Raw genomic sequence first — 25,521 nt, 5'->3', positions numbered from 1 at the left:
GCATGAGTGATGAAAAATATGCTCATCCATTCAACTTCTTTTTCTTTGCGAAGAATATGTTGTGTTTTGACTACACAGGGGAATGTGGGTTTTTTGTTTGTTTTTAAGTTTAATTTTCGGCAAGAATCATAAAAAAAAAAAACCATGATTCCTAAACAGAAAAGCCGGAATTATTATTAATGTACATGTTTTGTTATCCAAAAAGGGCTTTTGCAGGAATCCTAGCAAATGTCCCTTCTGCTAAAGAAATAGGTGATAGAATCGTCATTTCCCGGATAGAAGCAGCAACATCCAGAATGATTAAGTGCCTTTGTGTGAATGGCAAAGCAAGTTATCCCTAGATTTTTTAAGTCTCCTGGAGTGCATTCTATAGTAAATCACAGAGAGCCCAATTTGCAAAGCAAATTAGTGGAATATCTGTTTTATACCAAACATTTAGCTCTAAAAAAGTCTACCCCTCTACTTTTCAGTGAGTATGGAAGCAGTTGCAGAAAGAAAGAAAGTAAAGTGACTGATGCAAATTAGACTGGAGATATTACAAGAATCAAATCACTTTCTAAATACTTGTTACTTAGTACTTCAATTTGGGAGTTGATTTTGTGACAAACAGGAGAGTTGCTTTCAGATGGAAAATGCTATGATATGACCTCAGATGGTGAAATTAAGATGGAAGAAGCTCATTTAAATACAAGTTCTGCTTTTAATTCTCTGAGTATTTGAGGGATTAAAAAAGAAAAGAATATAATAGAAAGATATTTTAAAAAATAATTTTCTATGCTGAGGAAAGGCTGTGTTTTAAGTTTTGCAGAAGAAGATCGGATTTATGTTAAGGATCTTAAATTGCAAATCAATGCTACAGCACTTCTTGCTATACAGATTAAATATATATATATATATATATATATATATATATATATATATATATATATATATATATATATGTAGCTTAAGGCAGAGCAGTTTATATGAACTCCATAGATTGAGAAATAGAAGTCCAAGTCTTGAGCAGAGCATTCAAATCAACAGAATATATCAACATATTCAAAACAACATAATACGGCAAAACTGACCTTAATAGGATAAAGCTAAATCAAGAAAAATTTGGTCCCCTGGTGAGTGGAAAAATTCCTAACCGTAATACATATGAGAGAGTAACACGATTTCCTGAGGGAATTGTCTTTCTTCCTGTTATTATTCAGTGTTTGTCAAGTGCCTACATTTATAGATCTTATTTAAAATAGAACTAGTTATAGTCTCTGCCAAATGACCCTACAATATTGTGTGACTTCAGCTAGCTAGAAATATCTCAGGGGGCAGCTGAGTAGCATAAAAATATCTCTGATGTCCAGAAGGGGTGTCTATCTTCCAGCACAGCAGCCAGACATTCTGCTTATAGGTCTGGTTTTCTGTGCCACGGCCTTTTCTCTTTGATATCCATCAAGAAGGAGTGTTTACACTGAAAATGGGGTGTGAGTGGGACAAAAACACTCCTGGGGGATCTGTGGGTGATGTGTCCAGAATAGGGCATTCGAAACATCAATGTGGGAGAATAGAACACGTGGAAAAACAAATATAAAGTTTTGACAGTCCTAGAAACCTAGGGTCAATGGACAGCTTAAGGAACCTTCTCAGGACACTGGGGAATGGGAATAGGAGATGCTCCTATAGAAGTGTTTTGAGCAGTAAAGAAATTGGACTAATGAGAGGTCATTGATACTTTGGTTCCAGAGAACCCATGTGCTGGCCATAAACTGAAACTATTTGCATAAGAGGCACGATGTTTTGGAAGGACTTTACATGAGAAGAAGGGATTTGAAGAGTAGAAAAGCATTTCTTCAATTGAATCAATCAGATTCCATTATTTGCAAGTTAATATACAGTCAGTTTCTGTAGACTGCAGTGAGTTCTCCATCTTCCTTGGTAGTTCTTGAGGACAGGACAGATCAGACCTTCGTGGATTTAGCCAATTATGACTGAGAAAGCCTAGAAGATTATTGTTAAAACTCCATTTTCCGAGGCAAGGCACTGTGGTTTCTGTCCTCATTTTCATGTTGTTGTATTTGGGATTGTCATGTCCCCCAAAGGCAAGTTGCACAGTCTGAGTTAGAATTGATGATCTGCACACATCTGCTTCGGGGAACTTGGGGCCAGCACCTGAAGGACAGCCTGATGCTGATCAACTGGAAATAGATCAGAAGGTTTGGAGAGAGATCACAGATGGACTAGAATTAAGGAATGGACAGCTCTATAGGTGAGGCAGACAATGCAATGACAGCAGGTGGGAGCAGGCATTAAGTGAACATGCCTCATGCCCCACAACTCAAAATAAATGCCACCAGAACAATAATAGAGGCCCAAAGGACGTTGTTGTTCCTTTTGGGATCCCTTGTATTAAACCCGAAGTTACACACTGCAGATGCCATTGAACTGGGGGCTAATTTAGTGATTTACATTGTTGAGAAAGGATTAGTGAAACCTCCCATTTCGATGACCTGTTTCTAATTTGCATCTTTAACGAGGTGGGATTCAAGCCAGGTTCTACTCCTTTGTGTTTACTTCTCAGGAACTGTGTTTATTTCTGATAATTACAAATAAATCTTTCTTCCTTTTCTCAAACTGACTGAATAAAAGATGGGGGGAGTGTGTTAACTCCATAGCTTGAATAACTATCAAAAAAAGGGAGACATAAAATCCAATTATAACTCCTTCAAACATGTAATTACTGTTTCCTTCCCAAAGAGGATGATTGCTACATTTCATTTTAAAACATGTGTCTTCTCCTTTGTGGTTTTTTGCAGCTTGTCTAAGAGAAACTTGCCCCACAGGAAGTGGTGGCTCCAGACTGGGATGTCGTGACCCGGTGTGTCATGAAAAATGATAGCACCAAAGAAAATGTAGGCTACAGACTTCAAAACTTGATAAAGAAGTGTTCTGATTAATTTCCAAAGAACTCAGGGAGCCAAAGCAAATCTCTCAACATTTTTAGGTCTCTTGAAGAAGCAAGGGAGAAATGTCATATGTATTCTGAATTCAACTAAGACTGACATCATACAGACACACTGAAAAGCTATTCCAATGACCACAAAAACGGAAAGGGAAAATCCAGTGCTTGTCTATTGCAATAGACTATTGGCATGGAGATGACAGGGCAAGAAAAAGCTTGATTAGGAGTACTTTTTAGAGCAAATCAAATCCAAAGATAGCCATTTAAAAGTTACATTGACAATACATAATTTAATCAGGTTTAGGCATCAGTCCTGATATCAAATTTAAAATAAGCTCTACATAAACACAATCATTCTGCAGGTAATTTAGTATTTAGGTGAAGGTGGATTAATAAAAGAGCTTTTAGTGGGTACAGAAGAGATGCTGACTTTTAAATATCTAATAGCTGTACCAATATTGAGCCCAAACTGTTTTTTAAAATATAGCTTTAAGACAAATAGGAAATTCAAGTGAAGAAAATCAACCCAGAAGAGACATTGATCATCTTACAACAGTGACCGCAAAGTTATTTATTTGTCTGTCTGTTGGTTGGTTTTTGAACAAACGCATATAGAAAGCAAAGCTCCACAAGAACAAAGATTTTTGTCCATTTTTCACTGCTGATTAATTCTTTGTGTATAGATGATATTCAGCACATCCTGGGCACTCTAGAAATATTTGTTAAGCTAATGAATCCATTGGTTTTATAATTATAATATTTATTTTCATAACAGGATTAGGAACCTTTTGTCCTATTGAGGTAGAAAAATATATATTAAACTCCATAAAAGCCAACAAAGGAATTTAATTTAGATTTAGTATCTGTGTCCTCTGTGGAAATGGCTTAATACGCTAATGTGCCAATTAATATATTCTGCTTTATATTAGAATCATATGATGTAATATGAATTAGGGGTGAAGCATGAGTTTTATAGCAAAACTAGCTCTCCCACTTACTATATTTGCTGGGACACACGACCTTTCTGAGGCTCAATTTACTAACCTATAAAATGGAAATAAAGTTGCCTATCTCAAAGATGTTGAGAGAATTCATGCAAATAATCTGAATACAGTGTCTAGCATATATATTTATAATAGCCACTAGTATAGCAGGAGCTAACTTTATTATTGTTATTGGTATTAAGCATTATAAATTAATTAAGGAGAGGTATGTCAAGTTCTTTAGTTTTAATCTCTCAGTTCATCAGCGATTATCGTGTAGCCTAGAACTGCTCATCTTTATTTGCAAAAGGGATTTTTTAACATAAACAATATTGTATTTTTGGTGTGTAACAAATGTCTGTGCTAATACTAAAAGGGTCAATACAAGTATAAAGTTGGAGACAAATATTCAGAAAGGGACATCTCGGGGAGGCAAAATTATGACGTACCTGTTAATAGTAGCTAGAGGTATAGAATATTAAAACTGAAAGGGAGCTTTGATATGATGCAATGCAATCCCATCATTTCACAGAGGGCAAAACTCACTCAGAGCCACTTTCCCAAGGTCCCTTGCCCAAGGTCCCTCTGAGACCTGCTTTGTATGTACACAAGGATAGCTGAACCTGACCCATGAGTCAGCATCAGTATCACTCTGAATGACAGCACATTCTGCTTTCTAAAGATGGAGTGAGAAGAATTGGAAATACTGGGCTGTAGTAATAAGCAAATTGAATGCATGAGTTATGGTTTGCAAATGTCTTTTACAAACTTCTCATTTTATTCTCACAGTCTGAGATGGTGTCATCCCAACTTTAAAAATGAGAAAATTGAGGTTCAGAGAAGTTATTTAAGTTACGAAAAGTCATACATTTGATAGGTAGCAGGATTTGGTCTTGATATTAGGTTTTGTGACTCTAAATCATCTACTTTTTCCAGTCTGAGCAGCATATCAACCAGGTTTTTCCTTAAGAAAGTAGTGCACCTGTCAACTTTTGCTTTTTTATTTTTTGAGACAGAGTCTCACTCTCTCACCCAGGCTGGAGTGCAGTGGCGCAACCATGGCTCAAACAATCCTCCTACCTCAGCCTCGTAAGTAACTGGGACTACAGGCATGCGCCACTATGCCTGATTAATTTTTTAATTTTTATGTAGCGACAGAGTCTCTCTGTGTTGCTCAGGCTGGTCTCCAACTCTTCCAGCCTCAACTTCCCAAATTATTGGGATTACGGGTGTGAGCCACCACACTCGGTCTTGCTTTTATATTTTTTACAAGTATTTTAATACTCTATTAGAGCATAAAGTAAATAAAAATTCCTTCAACCACTTAGATATAAGTTGTGTGCTAAACTCATAAGAACATCAAAATCTAGAATGAGAATGTTATAAATGAGTTTGAGGCTTAATTCTTCTGACTGGCCTTGAATACATTATTTTGCCTCTATTACCCAGTTTGAATGGTGAGAAACCCTTTTGAAGAAGGCACCTGCTGGTGACAAGTGAGAGCGTGAAAGACCTTCCACATGCAGGGGAATGACACCTTTGGGTCACAGTGTGAGAGAGGGTCACGCATTGTGAAGTCTGGTAGAATAGAAATTAGTATCTATGTAACGGGAGAAAGATCTTGTTGAGGAGAGATCAACTTTTACTCATGGCTGAGATGGGTCCTTTACACAGGTCTCGGTCCTCCGTTCTCTCCCTGGTTGCTCCATTCTCTCCCTGGTTGCTCTCTAGAGGAGAGGTTAATTGCCTCCTTATCGCCTCTTTATTGCCCTGTGGGCACAAACTGCTTTGAGTTTGCCATAAGCAGACCTTGGTTCTAAACAGGCTTTCTCATGTGTGGGTGCTTAATTAATGTCCCAAAGATGATTGTTCTCTCTTAACTCAGATTCTATTCCTTTTAGCAAGGGTTTGAAAGAGGCTGGCCCCCTTTTAGCATCTTAACAGTTAAAAACAAAGAGAAGGAAAAGAGTTTTTTTAAAAGATGATATGTTATAAAACATAAATGAGATAGAGAATTTTCTTCATGCCTCCTTCCTTCCTCTAAGAAACATAAATTCTTGTGGTCTTTGCTGCCTTTTATTAGGGATTCTGTCAGCTTAGGTTAGAAACCTACTGAAACAGGAAATTTTCCCTGACGCCTTCCCAGGCCTCATGACGAGGGTGCCTTGCTTACCAGCCCATAGCTCTCAACCTCTTGTGGGAGAGAGAGCACTCAGGTGAGAGGGTGCAGGAGCGTGGGTGAGCGCTTTTGAGTGCTGGCAGGAGCAAAACTCCGTGCAGCTATGCAGCAGCATCTGGGGGGATACCTGAGTCCCCTGAAGCCCCAGAGGGCACGTGTTACAGCGCTCCTTTAGCTTTGCCAGCCACATCACAGATGGCTTAATTGTTAGACAGCTCAGTGGGGCATCAGTGTGACTTTTTTTTTTTTTGAGACGGAATCTCTCTCTGTCGCCCAGGCTGGGGTGCAGTGGCGCGATCTCGGCTCACTGCAAGCTCCACCTCCCGGGTTCACGCCATTCTCCTGCCTCAGCCTCCTGAGTAGCTGGGAATACAGGTGCCCGCCACCACCCCAGCTAATTTTTTTGTATTTTTAGTAGAGACGGGGTTTCACCGTGTTAGCCAGGATGGTCTCGATCTCCTGACCTCGTGATCTGCCCACCTCGGCCTCCCAAAGTGCTGGGATTACAGGTGTGAGCCACCACGGCTGGCTGCATCAGTGTGATCTTTTGCACCCACACCCGAGTTCTTGTCCGGCATCCCGGAGGAATGAGGTTGCAGGAACAAACTGAAGGGTGGTGAAAGCGGAGGATTTTATTGCCGATGTGAAAGAGGCTCTCAGTGGGAAGGGGAGCTGGAGAGGAGATGGAGCAGGAAGGTCATCTTCCCCCAGAGTCCAGTTGTTCCTGACTGGACTCCTTTCTGAAAAAATGCCATCAAGCTGTCCCCCATGAAGCCAAGCTGCTTCTCTCCCATGTCGAACTGCAGTCTCCGACATCCAGCTGCTTCTCCTCTTCTCCCCTTCTCTGCTCTCTGCCAGTCAAGTCAGTGGATTTTATGGGTACAGGACAGGGGGCAGGGCAGGCCAGGGATGGTTTTGGAAAAGGCAACATTTGAGTGGGAAAATGGGGATGTAAAGTTCTTACTGTGGGCAGCAGTTCCAGGCTTGAGGGTGGGGCCCTTGCCAGGGACCGCACCCTTTTCTGCCTAGAATTTCCCTGCCTCCTCTCCCTATCACTATCAGAAAATGAGATTTTGGAGACAAGTCCTGCAGTGTCAAAACATGAGGGACAACCATGTGGCCTCACTCTCCTCTGGTTGCCTTGTCCTTCAGGCTTAGGAAGGCAACCCCCGCCTGCCAGCCATTCTTGGCTGGAGGGGTTCTGCTAGTTTGGGAGATTACTCAGCAGCTTCATGGCCCTTTACCATCACCAACACCACGCTGCGCGATGCTTGCCTGAGAAAAGATGCCATGGGTTTGGAGCGGGAGAAAACTGACTGGGGCATGAGGGCAACAGGCGTCTTCTGCTGCTGAATTCTTCACATGCAGGAGCGGCTTGTCAGTCTCATTAATGAAGGCAGCATGCAACCGCCAGAGTGATTCAAGCTAGGGCCTGGCTAATAGGCCCCCAGAGAGGACACTGACCAGTTTCTCTGCTCGAATATAAAGAGCTTATCCACAGTGTTATCTGTATCGTTGACACTAAGTAAAATAATTCCTTGGAAAACTTCAAAATTAGCATTAAGAATAAAGAATCATCACAATTACAGCTGAGGTAGCGTGGCCGCAGCCGCCCCAGCTCCCTCTTCCACTCATCTTCTTACTTGACTGCGCCTGCAGCCAGGGCCTTTTTCTCTTGAAGGTTCCGAACCTGAAATTTTTATTCTTCAGCCCTGAGGAAAGTGCATCAGATCTGTCTTCACGTGGGCAAAGGGAACAACTGCCTATGTGGTAGGATATGTTTTAGCACTTCTTCAAGGGGTGGGTTTCTCTCCAATCTGGGAGAGATTTCCTGCCCTTTGTGTTACTCCTTTATACTTGGTGATGCTGATGATGACTCAGAGAAGACCACTACTGAAATATACAGGTTACCTGAGGGGATGTGAGTTGATGAGAGGGCCCATGATAAAGTGGGTGTTTTATCCCATGATAAATTGGGGTTATTAAAGCAGATGTCCAACCCTGAGGCACTGGGTGAGGGGCAGGTGCATTGCACAATGGCTTGATCACGGCCACTCAGCTCCAGTAATAAAGCAGAATGGTTCACAGCACCTGAATTTGCCACAGTGACATGGGAAATTGCACTCTGTAGACCTGAGCACATTCTGGAATACATGTGGGTTGATAAAGCATCTTGCATTCACAAAAGAAAAAAAATTGAAGAATAAATTGAGATAAAACCTTCTCTACTCTTGCATCTACTAAAAAGTCCTTCTTTGAGAATGCACATCACCTACCACTCCACCTGTCTCCAACAAACAGTTCCTTTGGATAACCATCAAATCACACTCACACGTCCATAATCATAGCATTAATTTTGATCACCTGAAGACCAAATATATCTTTTAACATCCTCCTTCATGGATTAGGCACACTCCTCCCTTTTTGTAACAGTTTTATTGTGATATAATTTACATGCCATACACTTTACTCATTTAAAGTGTGCACCTTGTTTGTTTTTCGTATATTTGCAGAGTTGTACAACTATCTACACAATCAGTTTTAGAACAATTCCATCATCCTCCAGGTTAATCCCATACCTATTAACAGTCATTCCCCATTTCCTGCTCATCTTTCCTTCGCAATCTTAGGCAATCAAGCAACTATTTTCTGTCTTTTTAGATTTGCCTGTTCTGAACAGTTCATATCAATGGAATCATACAATAGGAGATCTTTTGTTGTTGTCTTATTTCATTTAGTGTGTTTTCAAGGTTGATCCACGTTGGAGAATGTATCACTACTTTATTCTTTATATATGGCTGAATATATTTCACCATGTGGATATACCCACATTTTATTCATCCATTCATCAGTTAACATTTGGGCTATTTTTCCTTTTTGTCTATAATGAATAATGCTGTTATGAACATTTGTGTATACGTTTTTGTGTGGACGTGTGTTCATTTCTCCTGTGTATGTATCTAGGAATAGACTTACTGAGTCATATAGTATCTCATGATCAACTTCTGAGAAACTGACACAGTTTTCCACCACAGCTGCCTCGTTTTGCATTCCCACAAGCAGTCCCTGAGGATTCCCATCTCTTCACATCCTGGCCAACAATTATTTCATTAATATTTTCTTTTTTATTGTCAAATATTTTAATATCTGCCTTAATAGAATTTATTTTTAGAGCAGTTTTAGGTTCACAGTAAAATTGAGAGAAATATACAGAGTCCCCACACATCCCCTGCTCTCCCCCAGAGCCTCCCCATCATCACCACCCCCACCGGAGTGGGCCATTGTTACAGCTGAGGAACCTACAATGACACATCATCACTGGCAGACTGTGTAGTTCACAATAAGGTTCACTCTTGGTTTTGTACATTTCATAGTTTTAGACAAATGTGTAATGAGATAGAGCCACCACGCTAGTATTATACAGAGTAGTTCAACTATCCTGTAAGCCCCATTGCTCTGCCTGTTCACCTCTCCCTCGCCCAACCCCTAATAGCCACTGATGGTTTTTCTGTTTCCGTAGTTTTTCCTTTTCTAGAATGTCATGTAGCTGGAATCATACAATATGTAGCCTTTTCAAATTCATATTTTACTTAGTAATATGCATTTAAGTTACCAACATGTCTTTTTGTGGCTCATTTCTTTTTACTACTGAATAGTATTCTGTTGTCTGGATGTAACGCAGTTTATCCACTCACCTACTGAAGAACCTCTTAGTTGCTTCCTAATTTAGGTAGTTATGAATAAAGTTGCGGTAAACATCTGTGTGCAGGTCTTTGCATGGTCATAAACTTTCAACTCCTTTAGAAAAATAGTAAAAAGGACATTTGTTGGATTATAAGGTAAGAGTACGTTTAATTTTGTACAAAACTGTCAACCTATCTTTCAAATTGGCCATATCATTTTGCATTCCTACCGGCAATGAAGGAGAGTTCCTGTTGCTCCACATCCTTGTCACCATTTGTTGTTGTCAGTGTTCTGGATTTTGGCCAGGTTAATAGGTGTGTAGTGGTATCTCCTTGTTGTAATTTGCATTTCCCTGATAATATATGATGTGGAGCATCTTTTCAGATGCTTACTTGCCATCTGTATGTCTTCTTTGGTGAGGTGTCTATTAAGGTCTTTGACATCTTTTATAAATGAATTGTTTTCATATTGTTGAATTTTAGGAGTTCTTTGTACATTTTGGATGACAGCCCTTTAACTGAGATGTCTGTTGCAGATATTTTTTCCAGTCTGTGGTTTCTTTGAATTCTTTTGACAGTGTCTTTTATAAAGCAGAATTTTTTAATTTTAATGAAATCCAGCGTATCAATTCTTTCTTTCATGAATTGTGCCTTTGTTGTTTTATTTAAAAAGTCATTGCCAAACCTAAGTTTGTCTAGATTTTCTCCTGTTTTTATCCAGGAGATTTAGAATTTTTTGTTTTATCTGTTTTCCATTTTGAGTTAATTTTTTAAACAAGTGTAAGATCTGTGTCTAGATTCTTTTTCTTTTTTCTTTTTCATGTGGACATCAAGCTGTACCAGTTGCATTTGTTGAAAAGACTATCTTAATTATATTGTCTTTGCTCCTTTGTAAAAGATCAGTAGACTCTCTGAAGACAGATCTATTTGGAAGCTCTCTATTCTGTCCCATTTACTTGGAGTCTATTCTTTGGCCAATAATACATGCTGTCTTGATTAGTGTAGCTTTATAGTAATTCTTGAAGCCAGGTACTGTCAGTTCTCCAACTTTATTATTTTACTCCAATATTGTGTTGGTTATTCTGGGTCTTTTTCCTGTCCACATAAACTTTAGAATCAGTGTCTCGATATCCACAAAATAACTTTCATAGCTTTCAGGGATTTTAATTGGAATTCCATTGAATCTAGAGCTAAAGTTCAGAAGAACTGAAATCTTGACAATATTGAGTCTTCCTGTTTGTGAACATGGAACACCTCTTCATTTAGTTGGTTCATCTTTCATTTTGTTCATCAGTTTTACAGTTTTTCTTATATTAATCTTGCACATACTTTGTTAGATTTATATCTAAGTATCTCATTTTGGGAGTGCTAATATCAATGGTACTGTGTTTTTAATTTCAGTCTCCACATATTTCTTGGGGGCATATATGAAAGTGATTGACTTTTATATACTAACTTTGTATCCTGCAACCTTGCTATAATTGCTTATTAGTCCAGGAAGGATTTTTTGGTCATTTATTTCATATTTTCTACATAGATGATTATATCAAATGTGATATGTGAACAAAGACAGTTTGGTTTCTTTCTTCTTAATCAGTTTGCTTTTTTTCTTGTCTTAATGCATTAGCCAGGCTGTTTAGTACAGCGTTGAAAAGTAGTGGTACAAAGAGACATCCTTGCCTTGCTCCCTAGTTATCTTCTTTTTTCTCGTTCTTTCTTTTTTTTTTTTTTTCTTGTTTGTTTTCTTTCTTTCTTTTTTTCTTATTATAGCTGCTCTAGTGGGCCTAAAATGGTATTTTATTAAGGCTTTATGTATTACTAATGATTAATAATATTAGCTTACTTCCATGTGCTTATTGGCCATTTATATATCTTTGAGAAATATCTATTCAGATAGTTTTGTTTTAAATTGGGTTGTCTGGATTTTTTGTTGTTCTTGAGTTGTAAGTGTTAAGTTATATATTCAAGAAACAAGTCACTTATCAGATATATAATTGGCAAATATTTTATCTCATTCTATAGATTTTTTTTTTACTTTCTCACTGGTGCTCTTTGAAATACAAAAGTTGTTAATTTTTATGAAATCCAATTTATCAATTTTTTTATTTGTTGCTTATACTTTAGGTGTTATATATAAGAAACCATTTGCTTAATCCAGTCCCAAAGACTATGTCTATGTTTTCTTCTAAGAGAGTTGTAACTTTTACCTTTAGGGTTTTGATACATATTGAGTTATTTTTTGTATGTGATATGAAACAGAGTTCCAGCTGTATTCAATTGTGTGTGGACATCCAGCTGTCCCAGCACCATTTCTTTAAAATACTATTATTTCCCCTATTCAATGGCCTTGGCACTATTGTCAAAAATCAACCAACTCTAAATGTGAGAGTTTATTTCTGAATTCTCAATTCTATTCCATTGATCTATATGTTTATCTTTATGCCAGTGCTACACTGACTTAATTGCTGTAGCTTTTTAGTAAGCTTTAACATTGGAAAGTGTGATTCCTCCAACTTTTTTCTCCTTTTACAAGATTGTGTGGCTGTTCTGAGTCCCTTGGATTTCTATGTAAATTTTATAATCAGCTGGTCAATTCCTGCCAAGAAGCCAGCTGAAATGTTGATAAAGACTGCATCGACTCTGTAGAACAGTTTGGGAAATATGACCATCTTCACAATATTAAATTGTCCAATTCATGGGCGTTGGCCATTTTCCATTTATTAATACTTAGGTTTTTCAAATTTATTTCAACACTTTTGTTTTTAGAGCATAAGCTTTGTAATTCTTTTGTAAAAAGTAGTTTAAAATATTTTATTCATTTTGATTGTATTGTAAATGAAATTGATTTCTTAACTTCATTTTCAGATTTTTCATTGCTAATGTATAGAAACACAGTTAATTTTTATATATTGATCTTGTGTTCTGCAACCTTGCTAAATTTCTTTATTCATTCTACTTGCGTTTTTTTATTTTGGTGGAATCCTTATGATTTTCTATATGTAAGATATTTCATTCGCAGAGACATATTTTTAATTGTTTCTTTCCAAACTGGGTGCCTTTTATATCACTTCTTACCTAATTGTGCATATTGCAAGCTTAAATACAATTTTGAATAGAAATGTTTGTGTTCCTGGATAAGAAAGGGGAGGCGAGGGTGTAATTAAGAGCTATACATTGTGTCATTGTGTGTGAGGGGTTGTGTCTCCAAGATTTTTGTAAATAAAAGTGAAATCTTTTATATATGCAGATAAGTTTGTTTTTATTTAAATTCACAATGAAAGATATATACATATATAACGTTTTATATATATATATGTAAAGTTATATATATATATATATACACACACACACACACACACACACACATACATATATATGGGCTGTCATACTTCTAGGCATGGCAAAATCCGAACCACTGAATTGCACCTTCTAGTTGCTTCCTAATGTGACTCACCTGTCTAGATGGCCTGTCTTTCTGTAGGATATTCTATTTAATGACACAGGGAAATTTACTCATGTGAACAAGGAACATATGAATAGTAGCTGATTTAAAAACGGTAAGTGGAAAAGCTTATTCACAAAATGACATAACTTAGAGTGGATAATATAGTTTTCTTCATCTTCATGAAGGACTGCCATGAAGAAGCAGCACTGGATTTATTTCTGCTACAAGGAAGAACTAGAACCAGTGGATGTGCCTTAGAGAGGGATATTGCAACTCAGCAATGAGAAGGTCTTTCAAATACCCTACCTGTTCCACCTTAGAGTGAGCTCTGTGTTGGTTTAATATACTCCTTTTCATAAGCTTCCTGAATCACTTATATAATGTGAAAAATTGTACTCAGAAGTATTATGATCTTAAGAATTTAATAAACTTTAATTAAAAAGCAGCCATTATCACCACCCTCAAAGTCACCAAAAGTTGTCTTTGAATTAATTTAATTTTATAAGACAAGTGCCACCCCACCTTGGGTTTCTTGGAGTGTGCACATAGACTTTGGGTGACATTTTCTTTTGTCAAGAGATCAAGTCGAACTTTCCACTTAAAAAATACAACACAAAATAAATCTGATTATTCACTGGGGCTGTTCACCCTGCCAAAAAGTTCAGCCTTCAATGGTGAGGCCAGGTTTCCTCTCCTGCCATCTGTTGAGCTTGGCTCAGCTTCCTGCAGATTTAAATGCTTCCTGTTTCAGAGGCTTTGGATTTCCTTTCCCTGGATGCCCCTTCCACCCACAGCAAAGCTGCAAGCCTCTCTAGTTCTCTCTGCTTCGACCGCTCTGCTGTGATGCTAAGTTTTCTTTTCTGGATTTATAGTAAAATTTCTTCTGAGGTGAACGCAGTGCCTAGAGGAGACTGTTAGTGTATGTTTGCTTTGTTCTTAATTAGCCACCTTCAAGGAAAAACCTCCTGGCCTGGTTTATTAGCTAGCTTTGTCAGAGCTTGTCTGCTTTATCTAAACACTTTGAAGAGCCTCTTCAACCATACACTGCCTATATGCTTTCAATATACATTTTCATAGTACTGGTCAATTGGAAAAAGGTAGAACCAGGGTAGTACAGAAGTAGGAAGGCCTCAGGGTAAATTGCTAATAGTGGGTTAGGAGAGAAAAGGGAAGGAAGGAATGGGATAGAGTGGAGCTTCACAGAGTGGCAGAGACCACTACCCTTTGGATTCATGCTGTCTAGTTGCTATTCAGTTTTTGGCCCCAATTCTGCTTCTGGGAAAATTTATGATTGCTGTTTTGACAAGTCATCATAAGGTGAGAAAAAATGGGTGGAAAAATTCTCCCTGTGGAGTTCTAAATGGTTACAGATACGTGTTTCTTCCTGTCAGAAGTGTAGTTTCCAATACTCAATGACCAAAACAGAAAGTGCTTTCTCCTCAAACTCTGAGGAGCCAATGACCCCTTTCAAAATAGGGCTTTTTTCCACCTCCCAACCCTGCCCCAACCCTATCAGAGCATAAATACAGCTAATCAACCTGGGTGCAGTTGATGAGCTCAATAATGTCTCTTGGTCATCAGTGACAGCATTGAAAACAATTGCTTGGCTTCTTGATTCTCACTCCTGAAAATAGTCCTCTCACTTGGTTTCTCCCTTGCGTTTTGAGGACAGTCATAGAGACACTTTCCTCATGTCTGATGCCCCAATGGCCCACCCACTTCCATCTCTCTGTGATCTATTTTTCTCTGTTTGCACCACCATCACGATCATCATCATCATCATCATGCATTTTATGTTTGGTTTGGTTTTGCTCATGAACATCACCTCTGATCTTCACCCATGCGTTCTAAGGACAAGACCAAGTCATGAGCGGACATTAACTGTGCTGTGTCAGGAAGGACGATACCACTCATCAGTGAATGGTGCCAGACCTCATTTGGGGCAAGCATCTTGTGCAAACTGTACCAAATAAGGTGTGTAGCATTAACCTTATTGCTAATATGCATTGATGACTTAGAAGTATCAACAGGTCAAATGGTGTTAGGATTTTTTTTTAAGCTTGACAAATGAAGGCCTAAGAAGAGCAAAGTCTCTTATTTCTTAGAGAAGCAAAATCTGAAGCCCCAAAATATTTCATTCCTCATGTTCATTTACCCTGGAATGAAGGTGATATTACAACAATCAGTGATGGTTTTCAAAACATCTCAATATGTTGGCCCCTAAGCATGGACAAATGACAGTACAATGAAATCAAGTAGGAAGCAGTGAAGAACCAAGCTAAATATGTTGTCTCCTACAGGAATCAATGGATCTCCTGTTAATAGAGAGGGGTTGGGGCTGGGTGAATATGGGGATAATAGAGGGTCGTGGAAGAGCTTTATTGGTTTGGAAACAATTCTCGCTCTCTTAATTACCTCCTGATGATGGCTGCAGACAGCAAAGTGGTGGTCCTGCTGAGATTTTCCGGTTGCTTCAAGAGACTTGGAGCTACGCTAAAATAACAAATATGTTTTAAATAGCATCAGCTTTACAGGGAGCCACACACAGAGAGCAAGGAGGGAGATGGAAGTGTTTGATTTAAGCCGCTTCTTTCCAAGATCCACAACTACTTCAGTGCTTAATGAAGGTGGGAGATGGTCTTTGAAAATGCTTTAGATTGAGTACTTTAGGACCCCAAATGCACTAGTTGTTTCCCTTGCGTATTACTGCCCTGATTCTTCAGTGCACAAGACGAATAATTTACTAAAAAGCACATGTAAGTATTTCTTTATTATTCATTATAATGAACTGAGACAGGAGTAATTCTCCACTCTGCTGCAATCCCCGAGGGCTTAACCAGGCTGTGCTTTGCTTTCCCACAGTTAATTTGAGTAGAAGGGGACCCTTCTCTTTGTACCTGTGGCCTAAGTAGGACTTGTGCTAGTCTAGGTGTGAGCAGGAAAAGGAGAATGAGAGACCCCAGCTGGACTGATGGCAAGGGCAATGTGAGGTCAAGTTATAAGAGCACAGACAGCAGATCTGTTGAGTGCCAAATAGGGAAGTGTTACAAAAGAATCATTACAGAATAACAGGAATCTGTAGTCAGTGTGCTGAGGAAGTGCATAATAATTTCAATAGTCACTTGAGCAGAACACAATTAAGGTGGTGTATTGGCTGTAAAGTACAGAGTAAATTATACATTTTCTACATATGCATTTCTAAAGATTTATTTCTTCTCGTTTTCTTTTTTCTCTTTTTTTTCTTCCTTTTCTCTCTCCTTCTCTTTCTTTCTCAACTTATTTATTTAAAATCCATGATAAGGAAACTCGACTTTCCCTACTTATAATGAAAATTTGGGTTTTCATGCCAGAGCTTCTTAAACCCTTACAAGTTTCTATGGAAGGATCCTCCTCTACAGAGAGTCCCACAAGCTCAGTCTTTCTTAGTGTCTTGCCCACATGTTGAGTGCTGTTTCATACATATGAGTAAAATGGAGAAGGCTGGAGAAATTCAGGTTACCTTCGGGTCAGACTCCCTGTTATTTTGGTTGCCTCGGAGCAGTTCAGAGAGTCTCAGCAGCTAAGAATACCCTCTTCCTCCCATATTAGCAATCTGGTGGTGCTGATTTCTAGGTGACACAAATTAAAAGCAGCAACTCTTGGTGCCTGAACTGGAAACATTTGCAAGTTAACCCTGTGGCTTTATTGCCTCCAGGGAATATCTCTCTGGGCTTTTCATGGCCCAAGGAAAGAGTTTTGCCTGCCTTCTATTTTATTTTTTAGGAGAGACAGTTCGCATAATCTGTATAAAATAAGCCACTATTCTGGAAAAGATGATTGGCTTATTAAAAATATATAGCATATATTTTTAAACAGGCAGAGTTGACATTCTACAGGAGCAATGCTGTAGGAACGGTGAAGACTTCACCTCCCATCCCTTCTCCGCCATCTGTCCCTGCCCATCTGTCTGTTTCATGAGAGTTTTATTTTTAAAAACTCAAATAAGGTTTTGTTCAGATGTGTAATCTGTTCAGGATGGCACAGGATGAATCAAGGAAAGCTACTGGCCTACTAGTTGGCCATTAAGCCACAGTCACCTGAACACACACAATTTCTGTTTTCTAAACTTGAGGCAGCACAGTCTATGGGTTGTGATTGGAAGAGATGGATGTCCTACTTAATTTTCCAAACTGTAAAACTGATGTATGTGTAGATGGAGAGATGAACACTAGGAAAAGTTAAGATCATTATAACATGAGGGGTATCATTACTCTTTAGTAGTAAGTAATTATGTAAATATAATAGCAAACATTTATTGACTATTCACTATGCTCCAGAACTGTGGCAACAGTGCTAAAAAAAAATAGTTTCTTTGGATATTCACTACAATCTATAGTTTTTGTTTTTTTTACAAATATTATTTCCAAATGAGAAAACTGATATTCACAGAGGATCAGGAGTTTAGTAAATTATAGACCTGTGACTGGAACTTATATACTTCTTATTAAAATATTTATTATCTTACCCCATATGCTACACAGAAATTTTATGGACAGAATAAAAGCAAATCAATTTTCAGTATATTTTTTGGTTCCATAAATAAATCAGTCCTTTAGCAGTTCTGGGTGAGTTTCATTTGAACCAAAAAGGGGAGGAGGTTTGTTTATGCACAGTTCTGGAGAAAGAAGAATGGCCTTTGTGGTCTTGCCCGTCTGTGGGATTCTGTGATCCCGTACATTATATGTAGGCAGGTATTTGTAGGGAAATCTGTGGGCTGTAATTTCTGCACTGCCGAAGTCTTTGCTCCCACGATAGTTGTGCGGGAGCCTGTGGCTGACTTGCGCCATTCTTCAAAAAGATATCAAGCTCCCCAGACTCTCTGCTTTTAATTTAAAATTTTAATTTATACTTTTCCATGGATGATACTGAGACAGACATGGTCGTGAGTAAATATGTCAGGATAATCTATTGAATGGAATTAAAATGGTGTGTGCTTGGGAAACATTTTAATTTCATCTTGCTCACTTCTTTGCCAAGCATAATGAAAAAATTGGGAGGCTGAATTTTAAAGCTGTTCAGGATGTGGAGGAAGGGAGGGCAGAGTCAGAGCCAGATGACAAATAAATAACAAGAATTGTTCTGGGTGGCTTCTTAAGGCATCCCTGACTAGTCAGTGGGTAGCTCCCTAAAAGGCTCTATATAACAAGCAGGCAGGTGTGAGAGCTATACCTTCATTGCCTTTTACAACTTTACGTGGAACTCCAAACCATTGCTGATGACCAGAGGGGCTGGATATTGGGAAAGATGGAAAATGGGGCTGGATATTGGGAAAGAAGAGACTTTTTATCATTCTTGCCTCAAAAGACACTTTTCTTCTATACCCAAAAGCTCATTGCTTCAGAAATGGCTTTGCCTTGTACTGTAGCACCACCATTTAAGTGAGTCACGATGGAAGAAGGTGGACATAAAGGTGTTCCAAAGCCAGACTGTGACTCTAAAAGAAGAGATGACAATACCCGAGCAGCTTGCTCAGTGCATTTTTCTGTGGAGATACCATTTGCTAAAATCTGTGGTTACTCATCTTTCCTAAGATGCAGCCCCATTACTGACTCCAAAAAACTGCTTCACTAGCTAATGGTGTCACCTTGGGTTGGGAGTAAGACCCTTAGAATAATTTTCCCTTTTCCCTTTTCCATGGTGCCCAGCAGTATCTGTGCAGTGAATGTCTCCTTAGGGAATTGGATGTGTTTCTCTGAAGCTCCTTAACCCATTCACCTGTGATCTGATTCCCATCACTCCATGTCCCTCATCTCCTTCAGCGCTGACACATGGTTGGCATCTGACTTCAGGAATGCCTCAATCTGCTTGAGAATGGTTCTTCTAGACTGAGCAGTATCCTGTTTATACACTGACGCTGTCCAAGAAAAGGACAACACTAGTGCCTAAGCTATTGGGGCCTGTGGGCCAACTGAATTCTGCTTCAGGTGTGCACAATTGTGTTGATTGATCTCCCAATTATGTATTTTTAGAAATACAGCATTTCACCAACCACAGGACATCAATCTAGAAACCAGCCCATCAACCACTGTGTCAACACACTGTGAAAAAGGCCTGATCAAAATAAAAAGTTAAAGTTGTCTCAGTGGCTATAGCTGAGAAAATAAACCTCAGAGGGAAATGAAATCCCACTGCAGAATTCTACGTAGGTTGAGTATAGAACACTTCTGGAGAGTAAGACATTTTTGAAAAAACAGAAAATGTTACTAGAAGTACGAGAATCTATAGGTAGACTGGAACAGCCCTAGAAGGATTAGCTAGTAATGCTAAAAATGTAAATTTCTTGTTATTTCTGATTAATACCACATCAATATCCGTTTTTATAGATTTGGAAGTACAGAAGGAGAAGGCATCAGAACTGCTTGGAAAAGGATATGCGAACGGATTCAGTATCACTTGGTTAAACTCACATGCACTCTTAGATCATAGAGCTTGAATTATATTTGTCCAGATGAGGCAACAGTGCTCGTACTAATAGAGCAGGCACTATTTACCAAGTATAATTCCTATTCTCAACACGCATCACTTTCTTCAGTCCTCATAATAGCACTGTGTAATGCCATGAGGAAAATACGTTCATCCCACTTCACAGATGCACAAATGAAGATTCTGAGAGGTTAAACAAAATGCTTATCTTAGTGCTCTGTGTTAGTAAGTGGCAGAGCCCACATCTGTCCAATGACAGGCATTCTCCTGAACACCACAATATATTAATATTATCTCTATAATGCTCGATTTATACATTTCGCAAAACCTCATAAAGAACTCTCAGCTCTCATCATCATTCTTGATATTGTCAATATGAACTTAGAAGAACCAACTTGCCTCTAAGTTAGTTCACATCCCCATCATTGACAAGGGTGACTATTGCTCATTTCACACTTATTTCAACTTTTCATCGTGTATAATTTCTTTCATTCCAGCTGATTTGCTCAAGGACTTTATTAAGACTTCTAATGCATTGAGCCTACCACATTCTCTGTATCCGTCAGCCCCTCCTATCTTCACTATTTTTATTCAATATTTTGTAATTCCTGTAATCCTTGCCTTCCTCCCTGTTGCTCACTTGGCGTACTCCAACACGGGATAAACCCATCATCTACATTCTCTATGCCTGAAGCTAGGCATTGCTGGAGAATATTCTCAAAGCTAGCAGAATATTGTCACTACAAATTCTTGACCACCAACTACAAATGGGACCTCAACATAGCCTATAAGTCCCACTATAGTTCCCTAGTAGTTTTGATGTCATTTTCTGCGATAGTTATTTCACTTTTTTGCATCCTTCATCCCCTTTCTTCTGTTCTTCCATTTACCTTCAACTGATAACTTAGTCTTCCACTTTGGAGAAAAGATTGCCTCCTGGCTTTCCCATAGCTGAATCCACAAAGCCACCCAGGTTTCTCTTATTTTTTCTTCTCTTATAGAGCAGATAGAGCATCTTTCCTTCATATACTTTATATCTAATGTTTTCTCACTTTCCCTGTAACTTTTCTCTGACAGTTATCCCCTTTCTCCTGCATTAGCACTTGCTCCCATTGATAAGATCATTCTCATTAGTATATATACTTACATACTGCAATGTAAGAAGGCCTGGTCCTTGTCTCATGCAGTTTTGTTTCTACTGCCTAAAATCAGGCTACTCAAAGTTCATTAAGTCCTCAGCATGTGGGCTTGTTGGAAATGCAGACCATGGTCCCCACTCGGATTTAGTGAATTAAGATGCACAGGTGATATGCAGGCTAACAAAAGTTAGAAACATCCCAGCACCCAATAGGTATTCAGTAAATATTTGCAAAATGAATTAATTAGTTCCCAAGTGTTCCTACTCTTAAAACAAATAAGCAACAACAAAAAAGCAAAACAAAAACCCTTTGAAGAACCTAATTGCCTCTACCTCTGTGTCTTTTCCCCACTCCACTTTGACATCAAAGTTCGTTAAAGTGTTGGCTGCAAACTTTTCATCAACATCTCATGCCTGATTCTCTGATGACTCCTTCCTTCACTCTAGCTCCCTCAAGCTCTTCCTTAAGCGGCAGACCCTTTCATCATGTGACTGTACTCTCACATCTATAGGGATGCAATGGTCCCTTCACTATTCTTTCTGCCTCTGGCCCTGCTACAGTCTATTCTCCAAAAGAAGTCCAGCCTATTCTCATAAAATACAGGCCTATAGTTAAACCTATGCAGACATTTTACCATGGAGATGTCTACCTCTGCAGCCCTGTGGAACACAACCATGTCCTTGTCTATCTCGCTTGGACTACTCTGGCTTCCACTCCATTCCTTACCTGAGTCAACCTCAATCCCAGACCCCACATGGCTGCCCTGCCTTCTATCTAAGACTCTATCAGTACCCAATACTTGTACCTAGTTTTTCTTCTGAGTTATCAGCTTTAGATATTTGTCTGTTAATCTAACAATTATGTTACTTCTTCAGAGTGGCCTAGTCTCTAGACTGCATGTGTGAGTAAGGTCTTGCCCATGCCACCCCTACATGACCATCTGATATGGTGTGGATGTGTGTTCTCTCCAAACCTCATCTAGAAATGTGAGCCCCAAGATTGGAGTGGGGCTTGGTTGGGGGTGTTTAGGTCATGGGGGTGGATTCCTCATGAATGATATGGTGCCCTCCTGGCTGTAATGAGTGAGGAATGATTTCTGGCTCTGTTAGTTCACAAGAGAGCTGGTTGTTTAAGAGCCTGGCATCTCCTCTCTGTCTTTCTTGCTCCCTCTCTTGCCATGTGATACCAACTCCCCTTTCCCTTCTGCTATGATTGGAAGCTTCCTGAGGCCCTCACCAGAAGCAGATGGTGGCGCCATGCCTCCTCTACAGCCTGCAGAGCCGTGAGCCACGTAAACCTCTTTTCTTTATAAATTACCAGCCTTATGGTAATGGAAATGGACGAAGACACCATCCTAATTCAGCTTGTACTCATGTATCAGTGTTCTGTGACTTTGTGTATTGCATATTGCTACCTCAAATCTGCGAGCTTCATGAAGGTAGAGGTGGGGCGTCTCTCCTAAATGTTCTATTTATAAGGCCTGACACAGTGTCTGGTCCTTAGCAGGTGCTTACTAAATATTTGTTAAACAAATGGACAGATGTATACTTTTTATTGTATCCATGAATGTGATAGGGTGCCTTTGTAATACTCTTGTGTTCTATCATTTGTCTGAGATCATAAGGACCTTCAAAGCAGGTATTGCCTTTTCAGATGTTTTTTGTTGTTATTTTTATTTCAACCTTGCCTACCTCTTCTTGGGAAACTAGTAATGTGATCTCCTCAACATACCCTGTGGATTTATAGAGTGACTTGGAGCCTGGGAAGAAACCAGCTCAATCATTCATTATTTTGTTCAGAGAGCTTTCTCTGGCCTTTCTGCTCACCCTTACTTTTTATAATTGTGTTTCGCTACCCTACGCTTTACTTCTTTTACCAAGATAGGAATTCTCCTCCTCTCTCCTCCCACAGCCAAGCAGTTTAACCCCACTTCTGTAGTTGTAAGCAATTTCTGCCTCTTTGTGGAGCCATCTTTCCATATAAATCACTCCTTTCATTTTCCTTCCCGGCATCAGATACTCTGTTCTGAGCTGCCGTCAGCACAGTTGCCTCACTTGCGTGGTGTGAGAAATTGCTTTCTGCATTCAGGTAGAGCCCTCACTGTGCTTGTGGGGACCAGAGATTCCCCTTGTTTGCGTCAGGACACAATGAGCAATTTCTGGTGGACTCATCTATCATCAGACATGGCTGAAAGTGCAGCACATTATCATCCAGTGGCTGATTTTCTGCCTCAGGTGATGCTGTTTTCAGGAAAGCCTGCAACCTCCCTTGGTTGTGTTTCCACTACTCTATGTCCTCATGTTGCAGGCCCTCACGTTGAAGGCATTAGTGTGTTTTCTCTGCATAACCTCCCCTCCCGCTCCACACACACATACACATGCACACACACGTGGGCATGCACCCTTCCTATGTATTAATGTGACATCTCCCCTCCAGCTGGTGTTAGTGTGGCACTGTCTTCCAATTTTCCAGCGAGTGGCAGATGTCATGTTATGTCAGATTTCAAAGTCAACCCGTTGCACTACTGAAATATTTTTGTGCTGTACTCTCCTTAAGTAGCTCTTATCCCTCACCATTTTTCTGCAGAGGCTTTCAGATACATTCTCAACCAATACCTTATCAGCAAATATTAGCTCTAGCAGAGTGATTACTCTCGTTGCATTTCCAACTATCTGAATCATAAAGTTTTCCCTTACATAATTTAGGGTCCCTGTTGATGCTCTGAAGTTGGCTCTATTTGTAACTCAGGAAATAAATGAGTAGTTAAAGCCTCCTGGGAGAACAGCTTTTGCAATTTAGAATACCTTGGGAGTTGATCTAAAAATATTTCATTTTGGCTTGCCTGTTCTTCTTTCCCTTAAAAAATTATTTATCACTGGTTTATGAGTTTATTAAAGCAAGGTCTTCCTCCCAGTTTTTGGACTGGCATTATTAATATATTTGGATACATAGTCAGGTTTTTCTTAGCAAAAATTCAATTAACTCTCAATTTATGAAAAAGGCAAATGATAAAAGGAAAACCAAAAAGTTACAAGATAATATGGGGGAATGTATTAAAAAAGTAAATTCAGAGAAATGCATTTCGGGCTTTAAAATTCCACCCAGCATTTCTTAAATTGAGTACTCTATAGAAGACCACTTTAAAAGCAGGGGTCAAGGATGGGAAGAGAGACAAGATTTTCATGGATTTCCAGTGGTAACTATTAAAAAAAAACTTTATATATGTGCAATCATAAAACTAGGTATAAATGCCTTAAGCTTACACTCTGATATGACTGTAACTTCTGAAATTATAAGTTATGCACATATATAGCCACTAAAATTTAAACTTGGAACATTAACTTAATGGAACAGATGATGTTTTATTAAAATTAAATCCACTTTGGGAGGCCGAGGCGGGCGGATCATGAGGTCAGGAGATCGAGACCATCCTGGCTAACGCAGTGAAACCCCCTCTCTACTAAAAATACAAAAAATTAGCCGGGCGTGGTGGCGGGCGCCTGTAATCCCAGCTACTCCAGAAGCTGAGGCGGGAGAATGGCGTGAACCCGGGAGGCGGAGCTTGCAGTGAGCCGAGATCGCGTCACTGCACTCAAGCCTGGGCGACAGAGTGAGACTCCGTCTCAAAACAAAAAACAAAAACAAAAACAAACAAAAAAAACAACATTAAATCCCAGGTTGCAATGTGGATGTGGCACTGACTGCTGTAAGGCCTGCCCTTCTGGGTTCCACGCTCATCCTGTGATAACGAAGTTCTCCTTCCACAGTGGCTCATTCTAGCGCTTGGGAACCTTCATTACTACAGTGGAGCCCATATCATTCAGCTTTTGCTGGTAGGAAGGCGTCACTGACAAAGCCAGTCACCTCTGTATTTTTGTCATCAGCCTGATATGATGCAAGGACTTCTCAATGTGCCAGTGTGGTGAACACAGGTGCAAATCTGAACATTTAAATTTAATTGTTGTCATACCACATCTAGCATAGGTTTATATTATACATCTCCCAATTACAATAGAAATGAAAACACTAAATTGAAAAATATACATAAAGAGCCCATGGACTCTATGTGTGTCTATGTAGATACAGATAAAGATATAGATTCAGTTATCCTGCAGAAAGACACATATATGTCCCCACATATAAGTCTCCTTATGTGGGTTCTTTTGATGCCCATTTGAAAAACATTGTCTTACACCTTTTATCACTATAAATATGTATTGATGACCTACTAGCTCCTGGGTAGAGGCTGGGAGGTGCTGGTGATACTGAATATGGTTACTATCCATGTGACATTCGTAGTTTAACACATGAGAGTATAAATAATTAAATTCAGTGATGTAAGCTCTATGAAGAGTCTAGGATCTTTGGTATTATCCGTATATTACAAAGAGAATGGAGTCTGAATTAGAGATTTAACTACATTTGCCATTGTCTACTAATTAAAACACAAAGGTATGCACCCTGTTTTAGGTATTATTACCGTAACAAAGGAGGAAACATAAAGGCATTTTCTAGTTAACTCTCAGTTTATCAAAATATCAATTATCAATTCTTTGAACACGTACAAAGTCCTCAATATATGAGGACACCATTTGTGAGGCTGGTTTAAAAGACTTGTTCTCCAACTACCCAGATCACTTAAATGTCCCTGCAGCTATCTGTGCCTGTATGTGAGATGAGAATTTC

At 39.2% G+C, this 25,521-nt stretch overlaps 1 protein-coding gene across 8 annotated transcripts in view, besides 2 other annotated features; it reads left to right on the top strand.

The window, feature by feature from the left end:
* Positions 1 to 25,521, top strand: part of OPCML (opioid binding protein/cell adhesion molecule like) — a 1,117,521-nt gene that overhangs the window by 844,191 nt on the left and 247,809 nt on the right. The gene's annotated exons all lie outside the window — the stretch shown is intronic.
* Positions 5,919 to 6,419: an enhancer, noted in NCBI's record as "H3K4me1 hESC enhancer chr11:132551787-132552287 (GRCh37/hg19 assembly coordinates)". NCBI's record gives its function as "activates a minimal SCP1, AML or CMV promoter by ChIP-STARR-seq in naive H9 embryonic stem cells {active_cell/tissue: H9 hESC(naive)}" and the evidence as "EXISTENCE:reporter gene assay evidence [ECO:0000049][PMID:30033119]".
* Positions 6,420 to 6,920: an enhancer, noted in NCBI's record as "H3K4me1 hESC enhancer chr11:132551286-132551786 (GRCh37/hg19 assembly coordinates)". NCBI's record gives its function as "activates a minimal SCP1, AML or CMV promoter by ChIP-STARR-seq in primed H9 embryonic stem cells {active_cell/tissue: H9 hESC(primed)}" and the evidence as "EXISTENCE:reporter gene assay evidence [ECO:0000049][PMID:30033119]".

Source organism: Homo sapiens, chromosome 11 (assembly GCF_000001405.40).
Source record: "Homo sapiens chromosome 11, GRCh38.p14 Primary Assembly".
Taxonomy (NCBI): Eukaryota; Metazoa; Chordata; class Mammalia; order Primates; family Hominidae; genus Homo; species Homo sapiens.
This window is presented reverse-complemented; position numbering and strand designations above follow the sequence as displayed.